Genomic DNA, 24,125 nt, shown 5'->3' with positions numbered 1-24,125 from the left:
AGTAAATATTTAGCTTTTGAGAGTCACACATGGTCTACATGGCAACTATACAATGCTATTGTTGCAGCCAAGGTCTATACATAAACAAATAAGTGAGCCCGTGTTTCCATAAAATTTTATTTATCAATGGTGAAATTTGATTTCACATAATTTTCACATTATAAAATACTATTTTTTATTTTTTCAATCATTTCAAAATGTAAAAGCCACTCTTAGATCATAAGCTGCACAAAAACAGGCAGTGGGCCAGATTTAGTCTGCTAACCCCTGATATAGAGCATGTTTAGATTTCAGCAATGCAATCTATGTCTTCTAACATGTGATTCAGGGCTTCTTCCATGATAACACAATTCTTCACATGAAGTGGGGAAGGGCATTTTTCATGGCGTTTTTGCCACCAGCTCAGATTCTGACATGACTTGCTTAGCAAGCCAAATAATGATTTTTTTAGGAATATTTACCCTATAAACATAAAGCTCCATAATATACAATAAAAATCTTATCAAATTTGCCAATACTTAAAGTACTCCCAGCTTCTCAGGAATACACTCATGCAGAAATGAAGGAATACTCTTAAAGGCATACCTTCACTTCAGTGTCTGGTACAAACAGAACCTTATTAGCATTAGATGGCATAAAGACTCAAGATTAATTATTGGAGGAAGCCAAAAACTAGAAAAATAAACTTTTTAAATTGACAGAATGCTTTATGAATACAATAATTGGTCTTGTCCTGGGAGTTTCAGAAGTTCAAATTTAAAGCTTAAGCTTTTTTAAAAAATAGATTCACTTTAAAAAGAAAAGAGTCAGCAACTAGAAAAAGTATTATTCTAACAGAATAGATGTGTAGTCAGAAGAAAACTGAAAATTTTTAACAGAAGGGAAGGGAGGAAATACCAATCATAGACTTGGTCAAATACAAGGAGATTTATTGAGTCAAAGACTTGCTTATGTTCCTAGGGAGCCCAATAGTAGCACAATAATACAATCAGTGGCAGACCCAAATGATATTTTTAGAAAATCTTTTTCAATAAGTCAGTTCTGACTTTCAATCCATTCGATGGTTCATGCATGTTGAAGTTAATGTCAGTAGCTTTGGCATCAGTCAGACTTCAGGTAAAATCTCTGGGCAGCAGTTTATTAATTGCATGATCATGGTTAAGTTGCTTAAAATCTCCAGGCTTCACATTCCTCATCTATAAAGTGGGGATAAAGATACCTAACCCACATAATATTAAATGGGATAACATTATTAAGACCTTAAGCCAAGTCCCTGGTCCAGAGTAAATGCCCAATAAATGGAAATTGGGATGTTCTTTGATATGATATGTTAAAATTCTGGAAAATAGGATATTCTTAGATGCAATACGTTAAAATTCTCTTCTGCATTTCATTAAGCTCCCAGGTAGAGATTAGAATAAATGTCAAAAACAGATGTCTGAAATGATCCAAAAACCTGACCCTTCACTGACTTTACCAATACATTTAGGACACAATTAGGATACCGTACCTTCTCAAAGGCACATTGAGGGTTTCTGCAAACAGCAGGTTTGCAGATAACAATATCACCATGGCAACGGCAGCTCTGGCATGAATCGGGCTTCCAAATTGTGGCATCCTGTAAAGAGGCATAAGCTCTGATTTAAAAACTGATCAGTCAAGGTATGAGCACACAAAAGCTGCACCATCAATAGTCCCACATCCTGGACAATTACAAGACAAAGAAAAGTCACAGGCACACCACACACAGTACTTGCTGGGCACTGATTAAACCCCACAAGGCAATATAATCAGTATAATCCATTTCACAATAGTCAATCCACGTAGCCAAAGACAAGGGGATGCGGCAGAGAGCTGTCAATACCCAGAGTAAAAATCATCGATTGGCCTGAAACCACAGGAGGACAAGTTGCTCCCTGACTTGAAGTTTCACTTTGCTGTTAACTAGCAGAAACCACTGGAGCACGTTTAAAGGAAAATGACACTTTTGACTAGCACTAACCAGCATCCTAAAAGCAGTATTCGCCACTAGATACTATAAGCACCACAGGCTTCATTTTTCAGCTCTTTGCTACTTCATCGTCTAACATTCATCAGAAACAAGGATTTGAGTAAGTAGTTGGATTTTTAAAGACAGATGCACCAACATATGTATGAGTGACTATTTTGTGCCTGGCTGGGTGCTGGGCATATTGAGGTATAAATGAAGCATAAGTGTGGGCAGTATCCATAAGGATCTCACAAATTATTTGGGGTCATGAACATGAGAGAATTAAATAAACATAACTTAATGTTACTATGTTATTACTCCACAAATTGGAAAGGAAAACAATGGTCACAAACAGAAAAGTGAACCCTGGCTCAGTTAAGGGTCTCAGAAATTCCTTCCCTATTTCTCACCTTTCCTCATGCTGAATCCACATTTCAGTTGTGCCCATTTTGAAGTAACTTTGAAACCAACTATCTCATAGCTTCCACAGATACCTGTTTCTGTCCATTGAAAGGCTGCTCTCATGACTTCAGATTGAAACACTAAAGATCCCATGGGCTGTACTGAGATTCATTTTCCCAGAGATTTCCTAGCCCAAATTCCTATTAGAGTTGAAAGCAGCCATACTGTTTGGCTAAATTTCAAACACTAAATCTTTTTGAAGAGTGCTGTCCATGTTATTCTCTGGTTTAAAAGTGTACACTGCTCAGGTGATGGGTGCACCAAAATCTCAGAAATCATCACTAAAGTATTTCTCCATGTAAACACCACCTGTTCCCAAAAAATCTATTGAAATAAAAAATTTTAAAAAAACCTCAAAGCCAAAAAATAAATAAATAAATAAATAAATGCAACTATTTCATGGCTCATCTTTATCTCCAATGAGATAAAATGCAGACCCCATAATCTGATCCTCACCTATCTCCCTGGCCTTGACAACTTGGTCAACACTATTGGACAACCCCAGCCTCCTCTTTCCTGTTCTCATATCTCATTCTCCCCTGGATTTCTACTCTTCTCTGACTTTTCCTGAGAAGCATTTGCAACCAAGAAGCTTCTTCTAAGTCTCAGCACCTCAGAGATGAATCATTCCTAACCTTTAACTGCCATTCAGGTATAGCTCTTCACTATCCCTCTGTGACCTCACTTTTTCCTGCATGCACTGTTACACTGTTGTTTTGTTTTGTTTTGTAACAGGGTCTCACTGTGTCACCAGGCTGAAGTGCAGTGGCATGATCACAGCTCACTGCAGCCTCAACTTCCCAGGCTCAACTGATCCTCCCACCTCAGCCTCCCAAGTAGGTGGGACTACTGGCATGCACCACCACACTCAGATAATTTCTGTATTTTTTGTAAAGACAGGGTTTCACCATGTTGACCAGGCTGGTGACCAACTCCTAGGCTTAAGCAATCTGCCTGCCTTAGCTTTCCAAAGTGCTGGGCCTACAGGCATGAGCCACTGAGCCTGGCTCTGTCACACTTTATTGCACTCATTTATATTCCTGTTAGCCTTGCTGGACCAGACTGTGGGTGCCTGAAGTGGGAACTATCCTTGGCCTGGCACACTATAGATCCTTAGGAAGCAAGAGTTCATAGTTCCTAAGTTGCTTAATGAAGGCCTGTTCCCTCCTTTCTAAACTTTCTCACCCTGTTTTCCTTAGTCAACAAGTAGTTGGAGTCCTACTAAAATACTTTAGGGAAGAGTAAGATAAGTTTCCAAGCTCCTGACAGAGTCCTTAGAACACCAACATCCAATTAGAGCTGAGATGAGCTAGGAAACTGGTGGATGCTAGCAATGGACATTTTCACACAAAATGGCAGAAACCAAATGTGATGGTTAATTTCATGTGCCAGCTTAGCTAGGCTATGGTGCCCACTTGTTTGGTCAAACACTAGTCTCAATGTCGCTGTGGAGGTACTTTGTAGAGGAGAGTACCATGAACAATCAGTTGACTTTTAAGCAAAGGAGATGACCCTCTGTAATATGGGTGGACTCATCCAATCAGTTAGTGACCTTAACCACAAAAACTGAGGTTTCCTGGAAAAAAAGGGAATTCAGCCTCAAGACTAAAATATAGCATTTCTGCCCAAGTTCCCAGACTGCTGACCTGCTCTATAATACAGTTTGAACTTGCCAGTCGCAATGATCGCATGAGCCAATCCCTTAAAATAAATCTCTCTGCCTCTGTCTTAGAGAGATATCCAATAGGACGTATATGAATATATTGTTGATTCTCTGGAGAACCTAGACTAATATACCAACATTGGTGTAGATTTACATGGATATATACACAACATTTCCAAGCAAAAAATAAAATCACCCTTTAAAGTCAAGAAATGCTAAATTCATAACCTCTCAGGGAATGTGCTTCAAACTCTGTGGCCTCTCCAAAGTCATTTAGGAAATATAAAGTCTATCTGAGGTGAGATTACATTCCCAGTGTCTGATTTACAAAAATACTGAATCAAAGCAGAAGAGCACCAGAACTTTGCTTAGAATACCTCTGAATTTCTTTCTTTTTATTGCTATAGCACATTACTCAAAATTGGCAATAGTGTAACTATTACAGTCTACTCCTAACCCAAAGAGCAATGACAAGAAGGTGAGGAAAAGGCCAGGTGCGGCAGCTCACGCCTGTAATCCCAGCACTTTCGGGGGCCGAGGCGGGTGGATCACGAGGTCAGGAGATCGAGATCATCCTGGCTAACACAGCGAAACCCCGTCTCTACTAAAAATACAAAAAATTAGCCGGGCGCAGTGGCGGGTGCCTGTAGTCCCAGCTACTCGGGAGGCAGAGGCAGGAGAATGGCGTGAACCCGGGAGGCGGAGCTTGCAGTGAGCCAAGATCGCGCCACTGCACTCCAGCCTGGGTGACAGAGCGAGACTCTGTCTCAAAAAAATAAATAAAAATAAATAAAATAAAACAAGAAGGTGAGGAAAAACAAGTTTATTCCCAAGCACAATGTAGTACGTTTCCTGCTGATTTCAAGAAAACAATCTTGGTTTCAGGATACAGATTAAATAAAAATGACTGCTTCACAAAGCCAGCAGCTACTATTTATTGATCACTTACTTACGCTCCCCACTCTGGGAGCAGGAAGTGCTGACCACAGGGACAATTGTGGAATAGAGGGAGGGTGGCTTTTCCCACCTCTGCCATCTTCCTGCAAGGCTGGAGAAAGTATCTGTAGTCAATGCTACACAAAGCCCTTACATACATGTCAACCCTATGAAACTGGCACTATTATTATGATTTCGATTTTACAGATGAGAAAACAGGATGAGTGAGATTGAACCAGTTGCCCAAGTTCACAGAGTTGTTAGGAGACCTAAGGACTCAGGCTCTGGAGACAGACTGACTAGGTTTGAATCCTGGTGACACCATTTATTAACTGAGTTTGTTATTGAGTTAACATGTCTATGCCCAGTTTCTTCATCTGTAAAATAGAAATGAGAAAGTACTTATTCAATAAGTTTATTGAAAGCATCAAAGGAGATGCTGTATTTAAAGATATGTGAACAGTGTCTGGCACTTATTAAGGGACCATTAAATGTAATTTATTTTTAATCCGAATGTTTTATATTATGTCACAGGCATTCAGCAAATGTCTTCTAACTATTTCATTTTCTCAAAGGGAAAACAGTCCTATAAGTACTTTGACTTTCCCATCTTCTCATTCCAGTCTACACAAGTAAAACCTAGCAGAGTGAAATTATTACTTAATTAGGACCCTAGCATTTAGAGGATCCAGAACATTGTTGAATAAGGGAGAAATGAAACTATAGGTTGAGTTTTCAAGACAACTTGGGAAATTCAAAAAGTCTCTATCTCACTAAGCTGGTATAATCATGGGCCATGTCTTTGAGCCAGACATTGGTTGGCCACGCCAGCTTTTATGTGCTCCCTTAAGCTTGGTATGACTCTAAGTGCCAGCCATATTTATTCTCTCCAGATGCAACATTCTTACTTCTTGAGGTGAGTTCTTCTCTGCACTTCAATTATTTTGACAGTGACCTCCAAACTTGAAAGCAGTCCATTATACTTTTAAGCAGCCCTCAGTCGCTGGACTTGGCTTACTAAACTGTAAACAGTATCTTCTAAGAACATGGAGTAGGTTATTCACTTTCATTCTTTCATTCACAAAACCATAGTTTTTCTTTATGTTAATTCAAAGTTTAAATGTATCTGGGCTTAGGAAGCCTTCCTGATATGTTTACCTATCTGTCTTCCCAGCAGACTATGACTCTTCAAACAAGGAGATCTCATTTGATTCCTCTTTGTATATCTCAAAATTCACTTAGCACAGTTTCTGTATGTTGACTGAATTAATTAATAATCAACCCTGAGTTTGTTTACCCACACAAAAATATCTATTCATAAGAATTGAGATACTCCAGATAGGTTGTGAGAGCTTGAGAAAACAATGTTTAAATGATGTCACTACAAAATCTTTATAATGTTGAATGTCATTACTACATTAATGTCAAACTATGTTTACAGAAAAATTTTCTTCATCTAGGTATTGGACCTATCAAAAATCTTCCTTGTACCAGCCAGGCACGGTGGCTCACGCCTGTAATCCCAGCACTTTGGGAGGCTGAGGCAGGCAGATCACGAGGTCAGGAGATTGAAACCATACTGGCTAACACGGTGAAACCCTGTCTCTACTAAAAACACAAAAAATTAGCTGGGCATGGTGGCGGGCGCCTGTAGTCCCAGCTACTTGGGAGGCTGAGGCAGGAGAATGGCATGAACCCGGGAGGCGGAGCTTGCAGTGAGCCGAGATCGCACCACTGCACTCCAGCCTGGAAGACAGAGTGAGACATTGTCTCAAAAAAAAAAAAAAATCTTCCTTGTATTAATATCTCTATGGAACTAAATAATGTGTTATGGTTAATTTTAAGTAAAATGAGTCCTTTACCAAGGCCTGGACAGATGGCCATGTTTTTCAGGTCTTAATCTTTACAAATCAATTATATGGTCACATAAAGTTGCTTTATGAAAGCAGGGAAGCTAGAGTTCTTCAATAGCTAGAACTTTGGATAAAGCCATAAAATCCAAAGTAATAACATTGTAAACTAAGTTTTACAGATTTTCCATGTTGCTATTGCAATTCCGACACTTTAAAATCCTCCTTTCCAATCTAACACATTCAGCAAAAGAAATACTCTTAAAATAGCTTTTCACTAGAAAATAGATTAAAGGATTAGATTATGACAAGCCTAAAAAGCAATCAAAATATCTTTGTAAACAGCTTTTAATATTTTTAATAATATATGAATAAAATGTTCTTGCAAATAATATAATGCCTCCATCCCCAAATACTTCAAAGTAATAGCAAGGTGCTTTAAAAAAAAAACAACTTGTTTCACTTGGGAAAGTATTTACTGAATATTTGATTAATGCTAATAATAAACAATAAATATATCTTTAATAAGTGCTCAAATTTCTGGGGGGGATTATTTATAGAATTCTAAAGAGCAGTATATCAACTGTCAACATAAATTTTCTTTCATCTAAATGGTGTAATAACCCTACTTTAATTATTGATTAATTCATCTCATTTTAAATTCCCTTGGCTTCTTAGACCAAAAGTGAGAAAGAAAGAATAAAGCTCCCCAAAAGCTGTGTTTTCAAGTTACAAAACAGTATGTAGATATAATATTTTTGTAATAAAAATATATCTATGTGCATAGAAACAAACTGTGGAATTATATAAACCAGTAAGTGAGGGGTAGATAATTCTGTGTGTGAGTTCCAGATGATTTTTTGTTTTCCTTTATCCTTATCTGTATTTTCCGTTTTTCAACAACAAAGATATATAATTTATATATATATATAATTTATGTGATCTTTTGAAGTTACTTTTAAAATATAAGGTGCCCAGGCACAGTGGCTCACGCCTGTAATCCCAGCACTTTGGGAGACCAAGGAGGGTGAATCACGAGGTCAGGAGTTTGAGACCAGCCTGGCCAACATGGTGAAGCCCCATCGCTACTAAAAATAGAAAAAAAATTGCTGGGCATGGTGGCAGGCGCCTGTAATCCCAGCTACTCAAGAGGCTGAGGCAGGAGAATCGTTTGAACCCGGGAGGCGGAGGTTGCAGTGAGCCGAGTTCGTGCCACTGCACTCCAGCACCGGCAACAGTGTGAGACTCCGTCTCAAAAAAATAATAACAATAAAATAAAATATAAGGTAAAAAAACAAAAAATGTTATGCTTTTTCCCCAGTCTACTATATGTAGATAGACCCTGGACTACAGAGTTGAAATGTCATGGGGGAGGGAATTTAAATAAAAAGCACTTAGCAAATACATAACAGTAGCAATTTATCTAAATTTCCTGAGCTATCCCCAAACCTTCTTGTACTCAGTAAAATTTTTAAAAATTAACAGTGTTTCCTACTTGCCCTTCAAAGCAGCGAACAGGACGCAATATTCAATTAAGTCTCATGTCTTCATTTCTGGAGGTTCATTTTCCTGACAAGTCTGGTTTTCAGGAAAGATAATCTATAAAAAAGGATTCTTTGACCCAGCTCCCATTCGGACACAGAAATAATGGTCCTTGTTTGTCAGGGAACCATGAAGAAACGAATCAATAACTTTCATAAGGTTATTTTAGAGTGCAATTCTTTCCCCAAGTGCCCTTCTTCAGACAGCTTAGATAAACAATACCTTTTCTATTGGTTCTCAATTTAAAGTTCATGTAAAGCTCCTCATCCTGTCCCAAATAAAAAGGAGCAGAGGACACTTACCGCTAAGAAAAGATGTGAGACTTTGTATTTACATTAAATTATCTCCTTTCAGGAGGAGCAAATACAGGTTAATTAAAAAACAAAATTGTGATCCACTTCCTGTTTGAGACCTATTTCAAAGGCTTGTTTCATATAATACCCCCTTAAGGAGTTTCTTGTTTTACACATCAAAAACCTAAGCAGTTTCCCATTTCAGCATCCTGGCATGATTAGCTTGTACCTGATCTCCTCCTCCAGCTGTCTTAAAATGATAAACCTGAAGACATAGCTATAAGAGTATCAACTTGTATACAGAAACAACAGCATGAATCACAGATGAAAAGATTGCTGCTAATTATAGCTTAAAAATGTCTTTGTGCAAGAGACCCTCAACAACATAGTAAGTTAGCATCATGCTTTGGTACAGAAGTCTTAGAATAGTGTGGTGCCAAGGGTGGAGGTAGGGAGACGGAAAGAAAGGGACAAGCTGCCTCCAAGTGCTTCCCAGGTCCTCCACATACTCATGATGGTACAACTTCTCACAGCGTCCTGTGAAACTGACATCATGACTCTGATTTTATAAATGAGGGAATAAGGTGTGAAAAGGCAGAGTGAATTGTCCAGAGCTCAGCTATTAGGAGCTAATAGGAGCGGCTAGATCTGGGATTCAAACCCTGACTTTTTTTTTTTTTATTCTGTGCTGTTATCATATAATATCAATAACAATGCCTTATATTGTACAGCAGTCTTACCATTTCAAATCTCTCTTACTTCTACTCTCTGACTTTAACAGACTACCCAGGCAGGACACACTAGGGCAGTGCTGCCTACATTTACAGATAAAGGGACTGTGAAGCTTAAGGGACTTACTTGCCCAATATGTTTGCATGCCTGCAACAGCATACTCCCACCCTTCTTAATCTAACTTCCACACATCCTCCAGGTCTCAGCTGAAATATCACTTCCTCAGATTAGCCTTTTCTGCCTCCTTAACCAAGTAAATATTCCACTACCTCATGTCTCAAAGCTCCACCTGCTTCCACAAAGCCAGGCTTAGTCCTCTAAGTTTTGTTTTACAAAGAAAAAAAAAAAAAAAACAAGGACAAAGAGGGCACCTCTGGGTCCCAAATTCTTTGGCATTTTCACCTTTTTATTTCTTCCTAAAACCTTTGAGATAGATTTTATCATCTCCATTTTACAGATAAGGAAACCAAAGTTCAGAGAGGTTAAGTAATGTCCCAAAGTTTGTAACTGATGGTATTAATGCCTATATTTCAACCAGTGTCCATCTGATTTCAAAGCTTATGTTTTTCCCACCAAACCCACCTCCATACCCACAGGCTTGGTTTATGAACATAGGTCATATACCACACTAAGTCAGGTAGCAATGCTAAAATGGTACAATAGGCAAACTTGAGTTCAAACACAAGTTCATTTACTTCTTAGCTTTAGGACTCCGCACAAATCTCTTAGCTTTTCTGAGTCTCTGTTTCCTAATATGCAAACTAAGGATAAGATTGGACTCAATCAGGTGACAGTAAAGATGAAATAAGTTAATGTACTTGTATTACCACAGTGACTTGTCCTTAGAAAGTACTCGATAAATGTTAGCTATGAGCTCGGACACTTGCCACAATCTAAGCCTGTTGATCACGATATTTTCGGTGACAGAGGGAGTAGGTGTAGCATTTAGAGCTATAGAAAATCCCTGCTGGAATTTCCAGCTTCCAAGATAAGAAGAAGATAACTTTTCCATTGCTTAAATGTTTGTACATATTCCACTACTGAGTGCTATAGAAACTATACTTCTAGAGTAGTACACACACATACACACACAAAATAGGATATCTTCAAAATATAGAATAAAATAAAATACCCAGAAAATGTGCTCCTCTTCATTCCAAATTCTGAAGCAATAGAAATACAGGCTGAGTTCTGTAACTGTCTGTTGTTTACACCCAGTTTTCCACTTGTTCTAACATAATCCTGTAATAGTGAGAGCCTGATCTAAGAGAACCCCTATGATAGATTAACCATTATAAATTCCTAGAGATGTTAACCACAGAAATTCCATTATGAGTAAAACATGTGCCTCATCTTTCCACTTTAAGTAATCCAGATATTAGGGAGACTTTACTGTAGCTTAAGCTTATAATTTCTTTCTTTCTCTATTAATTCAGCTCCCAGAGACTTCATTTCATATTCCTAAGGGAAATGGGGGAAAAAAGTAAACATTCAAAATGTTTGCACATGAAATTAAATTATAGCTACACCATTATCTCTCATATTAAAATTATTTATTTTCTTGTCAACTTCCTCCACTAGATCATTATCATTCATTTTATAATTAGTTTTTGACTTTTCTCTCTCCCTTCCCAAGAGTAGGGACAATTTCTTTATATATAGGTAGCCTTGTATTCTTGTAGTGACTAAAACATAGCAGGCACTTAATGTTTTTGAATGAGTTGATGGATGGATAGATGGGCATATATTCTCAAATTTGGAGAATTGCTAACTATTTTATGATGTCATTGCTGAAAAGTTGGATACACGGATGACAGCATTAAGTTCAACATGCTGCCCTTGAAAATCCTTGCTGCTGCAGTAGCCACCTTCAATCTATGCTGTTTGAGATCTTGCCTTCTAGATTAATACATCAGTCAAGACCTTTGCTCTAAAAGTGCTTCTCTACTTCTGACTGAATGCCAGGCCAATTCTATTGTGATCTGGCATGCCACAGCTGTGTCATATCTTTTAAAGCTCTGCTGCATGTTCTCAATCCCTAACTCTTCCTCTAGCCAGCCCCTTGGCCATTTAAACTGGCCATCCACTAAATGGCTGAGTTGTACTAACACTCACATTCAATTAGGTAAAGCCACATCCTACTAAGTGTGTTTCTAAACCTGGCAGAGGCCCTGAGTTCAAGGTTTCATTGCCAGTGACTCAGCCTCATGATGTTAACCAGGTCTCCTACATGAGGCCATACCATCTCAAGAGGCATTTAAAAATTTGCTTTGAAGGCTGCTGGTTTAGAGGTGATTCTAGCATTTAATGAATAGGGGTCCTAAATTCTAGATGTCATATAATGAGTGAGACATAACTGCACCAAGAAAAAGTGTCCCACTTTCACATGACTTTCAAATGTCCAGACATTCATGTCAGTGAAAAATCTGATTATATATCCTAACTCTATTTTACACATAAACCCAAAGTACTTTATCATGATGTAATAATATACACTGAATTATCCAGGGACTTAACTAGTCAAGGAAAGGCTGTACTGTATTTTATTCAGAAATTAATGAAGATAATGAAAGACAATAGATACATATCTTGAAACATGTTAAATAACTACTAATATTTCCACAGATAACCAGTATCTACAAACGCAATTAAATGGAAATCCTAGAACACAAAAAGTCAAACAAATAAAATTAATTTTGCTTAACGGCAGACTGGCTATACCTAAAGAAAACAAGAATATAAGTCAATACAAAATATCTAAACTGAAGCAGAAAAAACCAAAAGGATAAAAAACACAGAAAAGAGCATTAGTGACACATGGAACATATTACAAAGTTCAACAAATGGGTGATTGAGTTCTAAAGACAAAATGACAGAAATGGGCGGAAACAAAATTTTTTTAAAATATGGCCAAGAATTTTCCAAAACTGAAGAAAAATACCAAGCCACAAATTCAAGAATTGCTATGAATATTGATCAGAATAATAAAGAAAACAACACCTAAGCACTTCAGAATAAGACTGCTAAAAATGAACAGCAAAGAGAAAACTCTTTTAAGCCACAGAGGGGTAGGAAATTATTTTCAAATAAAAATGCCAAAACTGATAGCTAACTTCTCCACACATTAAAAAAAAAAAGATGGAACTCAGAAGACAAATCTTTAAATTGCTGAATGAAAACAGTCACTAAGAATTCTATACCCAGCAAAAATACCTTTCAAGAATGAAAATGAAATAAAAATGTTTTAAATTAATAAAACTAGTGAGAATTTGTCACCTTCAGATCCAAACTAAAACAATACTAAAGGAAGTTCTCCAGGCAATAAGAAAATGACTCTAAATAGAAACACAGTAATGTAGGAAGAAATTTAGAATAATAGGGTAAATATATAGGTAGATCTAAATAATAACTATATAAAACAAAAATAATAACATCTGGTGGGATTTAACACATGTGTAAATACAAAATGCACAAAAACATGCAAGATAGGAGATGGATGAAAAAACGGAGAATTCAAAGGTTATAGTAATGGCTGAGAAGAGGTAAATACAATGTTTAACACAATGATTAACACATTGTAATATCTAGGGTAACCACTAAAGGAATAGTAAAAGTGTGTTTAACTAACAAACTAAGAATAATGAACTGAAATATTTAAAACATAATGGATTGATTCAAAGACAAAAAGAAGGGGAAAAATATACAGAATGGGAGTAACAAATAGAAAGCAAATAGTAAGGTAGATATAAACCTAATCAATAATTATAATGCAGGAACATGTTAAAAGATAAAAATTGTCAGACTGGATAAAGGCAAAGCAGTGGATCCAATAACATTGAGAGCCATTATTATCAAGTATGAACTGAATGTCTTAAAGAATAAATCCCAATATGTGTATTTATATATATTTATGCCTCATTCAAAATAGAATTTTAGACTGTAAATTCTTGAAGAATTCAAGGCATCAAGAATTTACTGAGGATCTATCACATGGTAAGCAATGTGGAAGATATAGATGAATACAGTCTAACCCAGATACGGAAGACTACAGCCTGGTCCTTTACATCTGCTCTTGAGCTGGAAATATAGTTAAAGAAGCAAGACTTCTGAAACAATTAGGGAACAAAGCAAAATAAATAATTAGAGAGGGAACATACTATAGAAAAAGAGCCGTGGACTGGGAGTCAGAACCTGGATTCTGGCCCAGACTTGGCCTTTACCAAGCTGGGTAAACCAGACAAACCGCCTCCCTGGGCCTCTGGTTCCTCCTCCATGAAACTTAGAGATTAGCCCACATGGTCCATAATCTTGAGATGGATTGCAAACTCAGGTAACTCTGAGTTCAAATGTAGTTCCCTAACTTAACAATTCCAGAACCATAAGCAAGGTAAGTATCTTGACCAAGCCTCCATTTTCTTTTTCTTAAAAAGAACAAAAATAACAAAATCAATCCTAGAGGAATGTCAGGGGGATATATCAGATAACACATCTGAGATTCCTTAGCACCATGCTCAGCACTCAAAGGGTAGAACAGAGGCTCTCAGACATCCATCCTCAGACCTTTCCTGTGCTCCAGACACATCCTATATGACCTGTTTCTCAGAGAGGTCATCAATGTACACCCCTGCATGGAATTTGTAAAGCAATTTATCATGCACTGGATTTCTTCCTTTGCATGCATTTCAGTATATGACCACTACTAATGCGCAAACAAGTTAGAAAGGGTACCTTTCAAAATATGATATCCATAGAGACACTGCTTTTTAAAAATCAAACACAAAAATCTCCCAAGCCACATTTTAAAATGTCATTACAAAAGTTATATGCCAGCCAGACACAGTGGCTTATGTCTGTAATCTCAGCACTTTGGGACGCTGAGGGAGGAGGATCACTTGGGCCCAGGAGTTTGAAACCAGCCTGGGCAACATAGTGAGACCCTATCTCAACAAAAAATAAATAATTAGCTGGGTGCCGTGGTGCGCACCTGTGGACCCAGCTACATGGGAAGCTGAGGTGGGGGGATTGCTTGAGACTGGGAAGTCGAGGCTGCAGTGAGCCATGATCACAGTACTGCACTCCAATCTGGGCAACAAAGTGGGACTCTGCCTCAAAAAACAAAAGTTATATGCCCACACACATCCTCATAGCTACTATTTACTGAGCAATTATTACATACACATATATACACATGTATATTATTGGTATAATATACATATTACATACATAGACATATTGCATACATACGTATGTATATTTATATGTGACATTGAATCCTCATAAAAATACTATGAAGTAGTTATTACCACTACTGTTTTATAAAACAAGAACATAAAGAACGTCTGGTCAGTTATCACACAACTGGTGAAGCCAGGATTTGAAAGTAGGACTGACTGGCGTCAAGGACCACGATCTTTCAAATGAAAAGTGATTCTGGTTTCAGGAAGAACAGCTTTCACCAGTTTTGAGCCACTGATCAATAGATCTAATTGACTTTGGCTGCCACTATTACCTATAGCCTGTCTTTTTTCAGCTGGTAAGGATTTCTGGGAGGGAGGGAATCAGGGATCCTCAAGGGCGGCCAGCCCTGTCTCAGCAGCCTGACTCTCAATATCTTCCTAAGATCTTAAGTTTCTAAGGAAATAAAAACAGTTTCTCCACTGGAAATGTTTTAGGAAGCTTTCCATAAAGGCACATGACATAAAATAATAATAATAATATAGTAACAAAACTGTACTACACAACACTGTTCAAATCAACCTCTTTCATTTTGGCAAATAGGAAGTGTATAAGAATTGCTTAGCTGCTTCTATTTCCATTTCTTGGGTTCAAAGTAGAAATATTATGGAAATATAATATTAAATGTAATATTATAGAAATCTAATTTCTAAGTCAGAGATAATAAATAGGCTTTATCACACATGCCAGCCCTGGAAATAGTTATCTGAAGTGCTATGTTGAGGAGGATTCTGAAGCTCTGTTTGGCAAGTGAAATGGGAAAGATTACCATTGTCTGTGCAGGCTCAGGGTTAAGCTGAGAAGAGGAATGGAAGTACCTATACCATATGTTCCCATGTACTAAGCCAACATAATCTACCCTAAAGTGTTGTTCACTACTGTCATTAGATTAATGAATTAAAGTAGAAAGAAAAGAAAGCTGCCTGGGCCAAAACCACCAAGATGATCAAATTAAATGGTAAACTAATCATTGACATTTTACTTTCCTTATTTTTCCATTAAGCTATTCAACTCTTTACAGACATGTAAACCTTTCCTCATTCATAACTAGTTTACAAAATGGGCTTCTGTTCTGCATCAACTATTTTTCCAAGAACACCCTGGCATGATGGGCCACAACTGGCATGTGAATTCAGCATCTTCACCCCCAGGGATGTGGATCCCATCCCCATTCCAAACCAAGAGGAAATTAACTGCCAGGGATGCGGAGCCCATCCCCATTCCAAACCAAGAGGAAATTAACTGACAGTTCTGATGGGAATGACATACTGACTCAGTACTCAGACCAAGCAATCCACTCCCGCAGTCAGCAAAATACACACCGGTTGTATTCTCTAACAACACAAAAATGCTTCACTCGATTTGCTTCCAGCCTCACTGTTTGCCAGGAAGCCACCGAAAAGAAGCAGGTATCAAGTGTCTCAGAGGAAGACCCTCCCAGGGTTCATTGTTAAATCCAGAGGCAGAACCCAGAGCAATTACACTTCTGGTACAATTACCAGCATCACCCACTCCCTGCCAAGTGAGGAGGCTTGGCAGCTGAATAATACAGCTTTCATTTTACATTTCCAATCCAATTAGCTGACAGTACTAGTCAATTGGCTGAATAAAACAAAATGCAGCGGAAGTTGAAAGGCCTCTATGTGGTTTGCAGAGCTGTGCCTTTGAGAACAATGATAAGATGAAAGGGACTGAAAAGCAAATTAGGAGACCCACCGCAACAAAAGAGCAGGCTGCAGACAACCCACAGGTGGGATGGATGGTTTAAATGGCGCGTCAGAGATATTTAAGCTTACCACCCATCCCACCTACTGTTTGTTTTACTAATAGCAAGAAAATTAAATTGCCACCCCTGAACTTACTCACTGCCAGGTCTAGCTGGGACTTATTAGCATCGCCAGCATATACATGCAAAGGCAAACATTCTCCTAAGAACTTTTAGCCTTTCTTTCTGCCCTGCAGTCAACATTTACGGAGAAGTCGCTGTGTGCAAAGCCCGACTAGTGGTTAGGAGCTGTTACGGAAATAGAAGACAATGAGTTTCTGGGGAAGTTCATGGGCTCATCGGTGAGATGAAATGCACACGCATGAAATAAGCAGGAGACCACACAGTGGACAGCAACGGGAGAGGGGGGCAGCAAGCAACTTTGAATAACTGGACCATGAAAACTTGCTGACCAGTGCCAGAATCCTAGTGAATCCCACTGTGGTGTTCCAATAGATTCCACAGGAGTCCTCCCAAATTCTGGCTTGATAACTCCGTAACTCTTCCAGAGCTGAGCAGAATCAACCAGTGCCTTGAGCCCATTAATACATAGTCCAGATTGAACCAGGGCAGAGCTCCAGGGGGGCAGAGCTCCACGGCTCTGCCCTGCTCACCTGTATTCTTCCAGACCTTATACGAGGCTAATGACACCCACTGTTAACAGGGAAAGTTCTATCTGGTCACACTGAGGATAAACCTGAGACTTCCAGTACGGTTGAGGAATGATTCCATTAAAGACAGAGTGAACACTATAATTTGTTTCCTAGGCTTCATCCAAAATATACTATTTCAGTCTTTATTCATTTTTGGCCCCATGACTGACATACAATATGGGACTTACAGGGGTGTTGTGACCTTGTCCAAAAGCCTCATGTCAAATGTAGGAAAGAGGAAGTATTCATTAGCAAAGCAGGGTTTGCTGCAAAACTCTTTGTAGGACAATATGTCCCTGAATCACACTGTTCAACACACACAAGGTGGTTTAATAAGAGCCCCTTCTAAAAATGGGAGGACGGTGAGCCACACAATGCAAAGAATGAAATGAAGCTTGGCAAGGATCCATGTATATTTGTAGAAAATAACAGTATTTGGAGAATGAGGGTCCCTTCTAAGGCATACCAACTGGTTTATTTCTGAGATAACAGTTAGATCTTATAAACATGGAAAATGGCATCTTACTTAGATGATCTGCATAAATAAAGACAGAACATATGCAAATTTTTTAAAGTTTCTAATACATATGCCAAAAAACCCTCGGGTAATTCTACTTCAACTATCAATTAATCAGCCCAGAAGTTGTTTACCATCAAGTTAGCTTTGTGTACGTACAGTATTTATAATAAGTAAAGATGTTTTACAGAGGAGGAAAAAAATCTTACAATACTAATGGAGAACATGAAAGAAATTTGATATATTTAGCCTTTATAATAAATTCTATATTACCATTTCTTGAGTTAAAAAACATAACTGGTTATGTATTATTATTATTATTTTGAGAGAGTCTGGCTATGTCGCCCAGGCTGGAGTGCAGTGGCGTGATCTCAGCTCACGGCAATCTCTGCCTCCTGGGCTCAAGCCATCCTCCCACTTCAGCCTCCCAAGTAGCTGAGACTACAGGTGCACACCACCACATCTGGCTAATTTTTGTATTTTTTGTAGAGACAGGGTTTTGCCATGTCACCCAGACTGGTCTCAAATGCCTAAGCTCAAGCCATCTGCCCGCCTCAGCCTCCCAAAGTCAGTTGTGAGCCACCATGCCCAGCCTGTATTATTTTTTAATAAACGTGTTAATTTCTTTAAAAAGAAAGAAAAAGAAAAAAATGCTACTAGTATTCTTGAAATTTTCATAGTAACATTGATAAGAAATGTCTGTATTCTTGAGATGAGCTGCTAAATAAAATGGCTAGAGAGAGAGTAGGTACAATCAAAGGCTGCTCTAGTCTCACACCTTCAGATTAGAAGATTTACTGTCTGAATGGACTGTAATATTTTGTTGCTTTGATTGTTCTATTAATGAAATTAGATTATACAGAACATGAGAAATTTTCTCCATTTGGTTCCTTTTCCACAATACAGAAAAATCGCCACTACAGGTAAGAACAAGACTGTAGCTATACTCATAGTAGACAACATATTTTTTTAGAACTGCCTGGACTTGTCTCAACCTCGACATTGTGGGCCATTTGGTCTCTTGTAACTACTCAACTATGTAAACTCAACTTTGTCAACGTTGTAGAGAAAAAGCCACAGACAGTATGTAAATAAATCAGCAGGTCTATGTTCCAATAAACCTTTACTTGGGGGAACTGACATATCATTTTCATGTGTCACAAAATACTTTTATGATTTTTTAAGCCATTTAAAAATGTAAAATCCATTCTTGGCTGAATTTGACCAGCCATAGACTGAATTTGGCCCACAAGCTATAGTCCATGAACGTCTAATCTACTGCATCAGAAAAAGCAGAAGAAAATGTGAATCAACAAAATAGATTGTGTCTGTATCATTCAAAGGGATAAATGAGGGAACAGTGTTAAAGATTCTGGTCAATTTGGAGATGATAAAATGAGAGGAGTCTTCAAAGAGTTAATCATCTACTCCAATCCACATCACTACTGCCCTCTGACTCTTGAGCCTGCTGATAAAATTCCAGCTCCTGTTCCTGTCCTTGAGCTGTACTAGAGGATATGGGATGAGCAAGACTGTCATCTCCTCTGTCGGTGAGAATGATGGGCCTTCATTACCTGATTCTAGACTGAAAAGAAAAGTATTAGTACTTGGATACCTGCCTATCACAGAGCAAAACAAGTTTTTTTCTGCAGAGAAAACAAAAGGAACTAACTTCTGCCAATGAAAAAAACCTTCATGAAATATATTATCTATGGAGTGGCAGCAAAAATAGGCCCAACAAAATGTTAAGTTCCAAATTTGTAGCAGCAAGGCAATTACTTATCCTGACATCTTAAGTAAACTCTGGAGAAAACTCAACCTTCTCAACAAAGTTTATTATTGTTTCTCAAGGATGAAACAGGTATCTTACACAAATATATTTTAAATTCAACATGTTATTTAGATGCTTAATCAATCTGGTCTGGCAGGTGGCTCTTTTCAAAGCTTTTTTAAAATACACTTTTGTTTAGTAATATATACTATCTGTCCTAGAAACTGGCTGATATCTACATTACACATGATCAATTGTTGCTATGTCTAAAAGAAAAAGCAATTAGGAAATATATTATTTGTGGTTCTACTTCCACTGTTTATAAGCAGATAATACATTTTTTGTTGTCTTAAAAAAGTTTTAATATTTTTATTTTCTAAAATAATAGGTCTTTGGTGTGAAATAAAACATACTCATGAAAATTCAAATAGAATTCATTTGCTAAAAGACAAAAATGGCCTTAAATGAGGTAGAACTTCATTCTTAAGCAAATAAGTAATTCAGTCTGATAATAGATGTATAAGTAGGGCTGCAATTCACTGATATATTAATAGATCTTCCCTAATAAGAACATTAAATAGCATTTGGTTTATAGCATGAAAAAATAAAATTATCTCCAAGATGAGAAAGAAAAAAACCAGCAAAAGAATGTAATTACCATAGAAGCATTTCCTGAATTATACTGGAGCTGAAATCCTCTATTAGGGAAAATGAACCCTAAAATACACCATGTTCCCTCTATAAGAATAGAAAGAAATGTGTCTTTTGTAAACTTCAAGGTCATCTTTTGTGAATTGAAAGGATAAAGAATTTGTTTTAATGATCATTTTCTAAGAAATATCACATTTTATATTTGGAAAATCACACAGAGAAGGCAGACTCAGAATATTTGGATGCAAGCAAACTACATGTGTCACCTTCTCACTAATCTCCCAAACAAATTGGTTTCTTGTCCTCTCCCACAGGTGACAAGTGGGTGGCTCTGGGTTTGGAACAGTGCTGGATCAACATTTGTTTCAGTACCTCTGGGAAGACTGGTTTGACTGATTCTGGGGCTAACTCTCTGCAATCTCAAGAGTAGGGCCAGAATGACAGTGGATCCAAACATTCTACAGAGTAATTCTCTCAGATCTGCCATTAGACAAGATCCAGGAGCTAGGTCAGAACCTAGGTTTCAATCAGATATCATACGACAAACAGTATGCACTTGATGATCCATGTCCACACAGTCTGCAACTGTCCACTCCTGGCTTGGTGATGCAATGCTCACGTAATGAACTGTATTGAACTTGGGAAATGCATAGTCTACTCTTCTCCAATTCAGAATAGGTTGAACAAATCACAGCACATGTGAGCATATTTCCAGATATACCCCAAACTTTCTACCCTCTATGCACAAAAAGAGAGCTTTAGGGTAGCCTAGTGTGCTGTATTTCAAGCATAGACCCTTCTGAGATAGTTCCCCTCTCTCTGTGTGTGTATTCTCCAAAATCAATCAGATTTCTTAAGAGTCCAAGAGAGGAGAAACCAGGATGGACAGAATTATCATACTTCATTTGGTAAAATATTAACATAAATACAACTTGTGTGTGTGTGTGTGTGTGTGTGTGTGTGTGTGTGAGAGAGAGTGAGAGAGAGAGAGAAGGGAGAGAGAGAGGAAGAGAAGAGAGGAGAGGAGGGGGGAGGGGAGGGGAAGGGGAGGGGAAGAGAGGGGAGGGGAAGGGGAGGGGAAGAGAGGGGAGGGGAAGGGGAGGGGAAGAGAGGGGAGGGGAAGGGAGGAGAGGGGAAGGGGAGGGCAAGAGAGGAGAGGGGGAGGGGAAGAGAGGAGAGGGGAAGGGGAGGGCAAGAGAGGAGAGGGGAAGGGGAGGGGAAGAGAGGAGAGGGGAAGGGGAGGGGAGGGGAGGAGAGGGGAGGGGAGAGAAGGGAGGGGGAGATATCTTGTAGGTTCATGAGTTAGAGGGAATAGGAGTTTGCCATAGCTACCGTCCATTGAATGAATGCTGAAAATCTGGCACAGTACTGGGGAAAATTATTCATAAAAATTGCAGTGAGCGACAACTGCCAACAACAGATTTTGCAGGCCTTGAGGAAGTGACTTAAGAGCTAACAAAATAAAAATAGGTATAAGCAGACTAAACATGGGAGATGAGGAAAGCAATCTCTTATCTCCAAAATGAATCTTTAAGCTGTCCACATCTCTTGGGCTCCTCTGACACCTCTGGTCCAGGGCACTCTCACCTCTTAGCTGGGCTGAAGCTCTGGCAGTCCCGCACAGAACAGTCCTCTTCCAGACATGCCCCCCAACAACTTTGCCTACAGCAACCAGATCATACCATTCTCATATGTCATGGTTAATTTTATGTGTCAATGTGACTGGGCTAAGGGATGCCCAGATACCTGGAAAGTATTCTTTTTGGGTGTATCTGTTAGGATGTTTCTAGAAGAAATTAGCATTTGAATGAGTACACAGTAAACAAGATCAATGAGGGAGGGCATCATCCAATCCTTGGAGGGCCTGAATAGAACAAAAAGGCAGAGGAAGGGCAAATTCTCTCTCTCTCTCCTTCAGCTGGGACATCCAGCTTCTGCCCATACCAACCAACTCCATAATAAATCTCCTATCTATCTATCTATCTAGTTATCTAGCTATCTTTTATTGGTTCTGTTTCTCTGGAGAACCCTGACTAACACATCATCCTAAAAACACATCAGTGTAATCTCACTGACTAAAAAAACTTAAATTTCTCATCAGGTCTGCCAGGCCCCTGACTTTGCTCCAGTCTTATCCCCTACGTGTCCTTAGTCATATTGGTCTTCTAGCATCTCCTTGAAAATACTCTCCTGTGGCCATAAAGGTTTCTTTTCTCTGACACAGTCTCTCCCTTCTTCTCCTGACCCACTTCCTCTCACTCTTAAGATTCCACCTCCTCATCCAAGTCTTCCCTGACTACTCTATCCAATGTAGGCCCATATTATTCTCTATCATGGCTTTCCATTTCGCTTCATGGCACTAAAAACAACTGGAAACCATTCTGTTTACATCTGCTTCACTCCCTGGAAGATAAGGCCCTAAAAGTAAGAACGGTTTACTGCTGAACTGCCAGGGCCCACAACTGCAGATATCTGTGGAATGAGAAAATAAACTATGACCTGTTCCCCTCTGCTTCTCTATTATCCCTATTATCTATAACAGTGAGGGTTTCCAAGAAATAGATCACTCACCAAAGAATATATTCTTAGTTGGCTCATTCATGAAATCATTCCCTTATGCATGTATTTATGCACTGATTTAATCATTTATAGTGAATATATGTTGAGCCACTACTAAGTTCAAACTATGGAAAGAAATGCAGCAAAAGAGATATGGGTTGTGCATCTTGACCAAAAATACAAAGAATAATAGTTATATTCATCCATACTGAGTTAATTTAGGTGGGTACATGGGCCAGATATTTGCAAGAGAAGCATTCTAGGGCAAATCTAGACAAGCCTGACGTCTAAACCATTTCATGGGAAAGAACAACTTTTTGTTTCCCTTCCATTTAATTTTACTGTGTTCATTCATTCACTGATTAATAAGTATCCACTAAGCACATTCGATGTCCCAAGCACTGTGCCAAGTGGTGGCCACAGATGTCAGGGAAAGAAAAAGCCCAGGATCTGTAAGAAATGACATAGTATTACAGGTTCTACAATAACAGGCTAGGAGAGGACTCAACCAATGAAAGATGCCAAAAATAAGAAGAAGCACTAAATTCCAGAATAGGGAAATCAGTTTTCACTAAAAAATATTTTATGCACACCCACATTCATAGCAGCATTATTCACAATAGCCAAAAGGTGGAAGCAACCCAAGTGTCTGTCGACAGATGAATGGATAAACAAAATGTAGTCAATACATACAATGGAATATCAATCAGCTTAGGAAGGAAAACTCTGATATATGCTCCAAATTGGATGAACCTTGAGGATATTAAGCTGAGTGAAATAAGCCAGTCACAAAATGACAAATGCTGTATGGTTCCACTTATATGAGATACCCACAGTAGTAAAATTCATAAAGCGAGAATAGAATGGAGGTTGCCAAGGGATTGGGGAAGAAGGAAATAGGGAGTTGTCTAAAGGATACAGAGTTTCCATTTTGCAAAATGAAGAGTTCTGTGGATTGGTTGTACAACAATGTGGATACACTTAACACTGCTGACCTGTACAGTTAAAAATAATTGGCCGGGTGCGGTGGCTCATGCCTATAATCCCAGCACTTTGGGAGGCCAAGGCAGGCAGATCACGAGGTCAAGAGATCAAGACCATCCTGGCCAACATGGTAAAACCCCATCTCTACTAAAAATACAAAAATTAGCTGTGCGTGGTGGCATGCACCTGTAGTCCCAGCTACTTGGGAGGCTGAGGCAGAAGAATTCGTTGAACCCAGGAGGCAGAGGTTGCAGAGAGCAGAGATCACACCATTGCACTCCAGCCTGGCGACAGAGCAAGACTCCATCTCAAAATAATAATAATAATAATAATAATAATAAAGATGGTAAATTTTATGTCATACGTATTTTACCACAATTAAAATTTTTTTAAAACAAACATTTTATAGACCAGCGTCAAGTTACACAGTATGGCTGAGATAGCCATCAGGTGTACCCCAAACCTCATTTCTCTCTGCATCTTGACACTTAGCATCCAGAAAGGCAGGTTTACTGATTGGCC

At 38.6% G+C, this 24,125-nt stretch overlaps 1 protein-coding gene across 2 annotated transcripts in view, besides 1 other annotated feature; it reads right to left on the bottom strand.

Moving 5' to 3' along the window:
- The window catches only part of FRAS1 (Fraser extracellular matrix complex subunit 1), a 486,947-nt gene that overhangs the window by 305,142 nt on the left and 157,680 nt on the right, over positions 1 to 24,125 (bottom strand). For both annotated transcript variants that reach the window (NM_025074.7, NM_001166133.2), the window contains exon 3: positions 1,511 to 1,618. In NM_025074.7, coding sequence (NP_079350.5) covers positions 1,511 to 1,618 — 108 coding nt within the window. The remainder of the gene's footprint in view (positions 1 to 1,510; positions 1,619 to 24,125) is intronic.
- Positions 15,864 to 16,748: an enhancer, noted in NCBI's record as "OCT4-NANOG hESC enhancer chr4:79143534-79144418 (GRCh37/hg19 assembly coordinates)". NCBI's record gives its function as "activates a minimal SCP1, AML or CMV promoter by ChIP-STARR-seq in primed H9 embryonic stem cells {active_cell/tissue: H9 hESC(primed)}" and the evidence as "EXISTENCE:reporter gene assay evidence [ECO:0000049][PMID:30033119]".

Source organism: Homo sapiens, chromosome 4 (assembly GCF_000001405.40).
Source record: "Homo sapiens chromosome 4, GRCh38.p14 Primary Assembly".
In the NCBI taxonomy this organism is placed as follows: Eukaryota; Metazoa; Chordata; class Mammalia; order Primates; family Hominidae; genus Homo; species Homo sapiens.
This window is presented reverse-complemented; position numbering and strand designations above follow the sequence as displayed.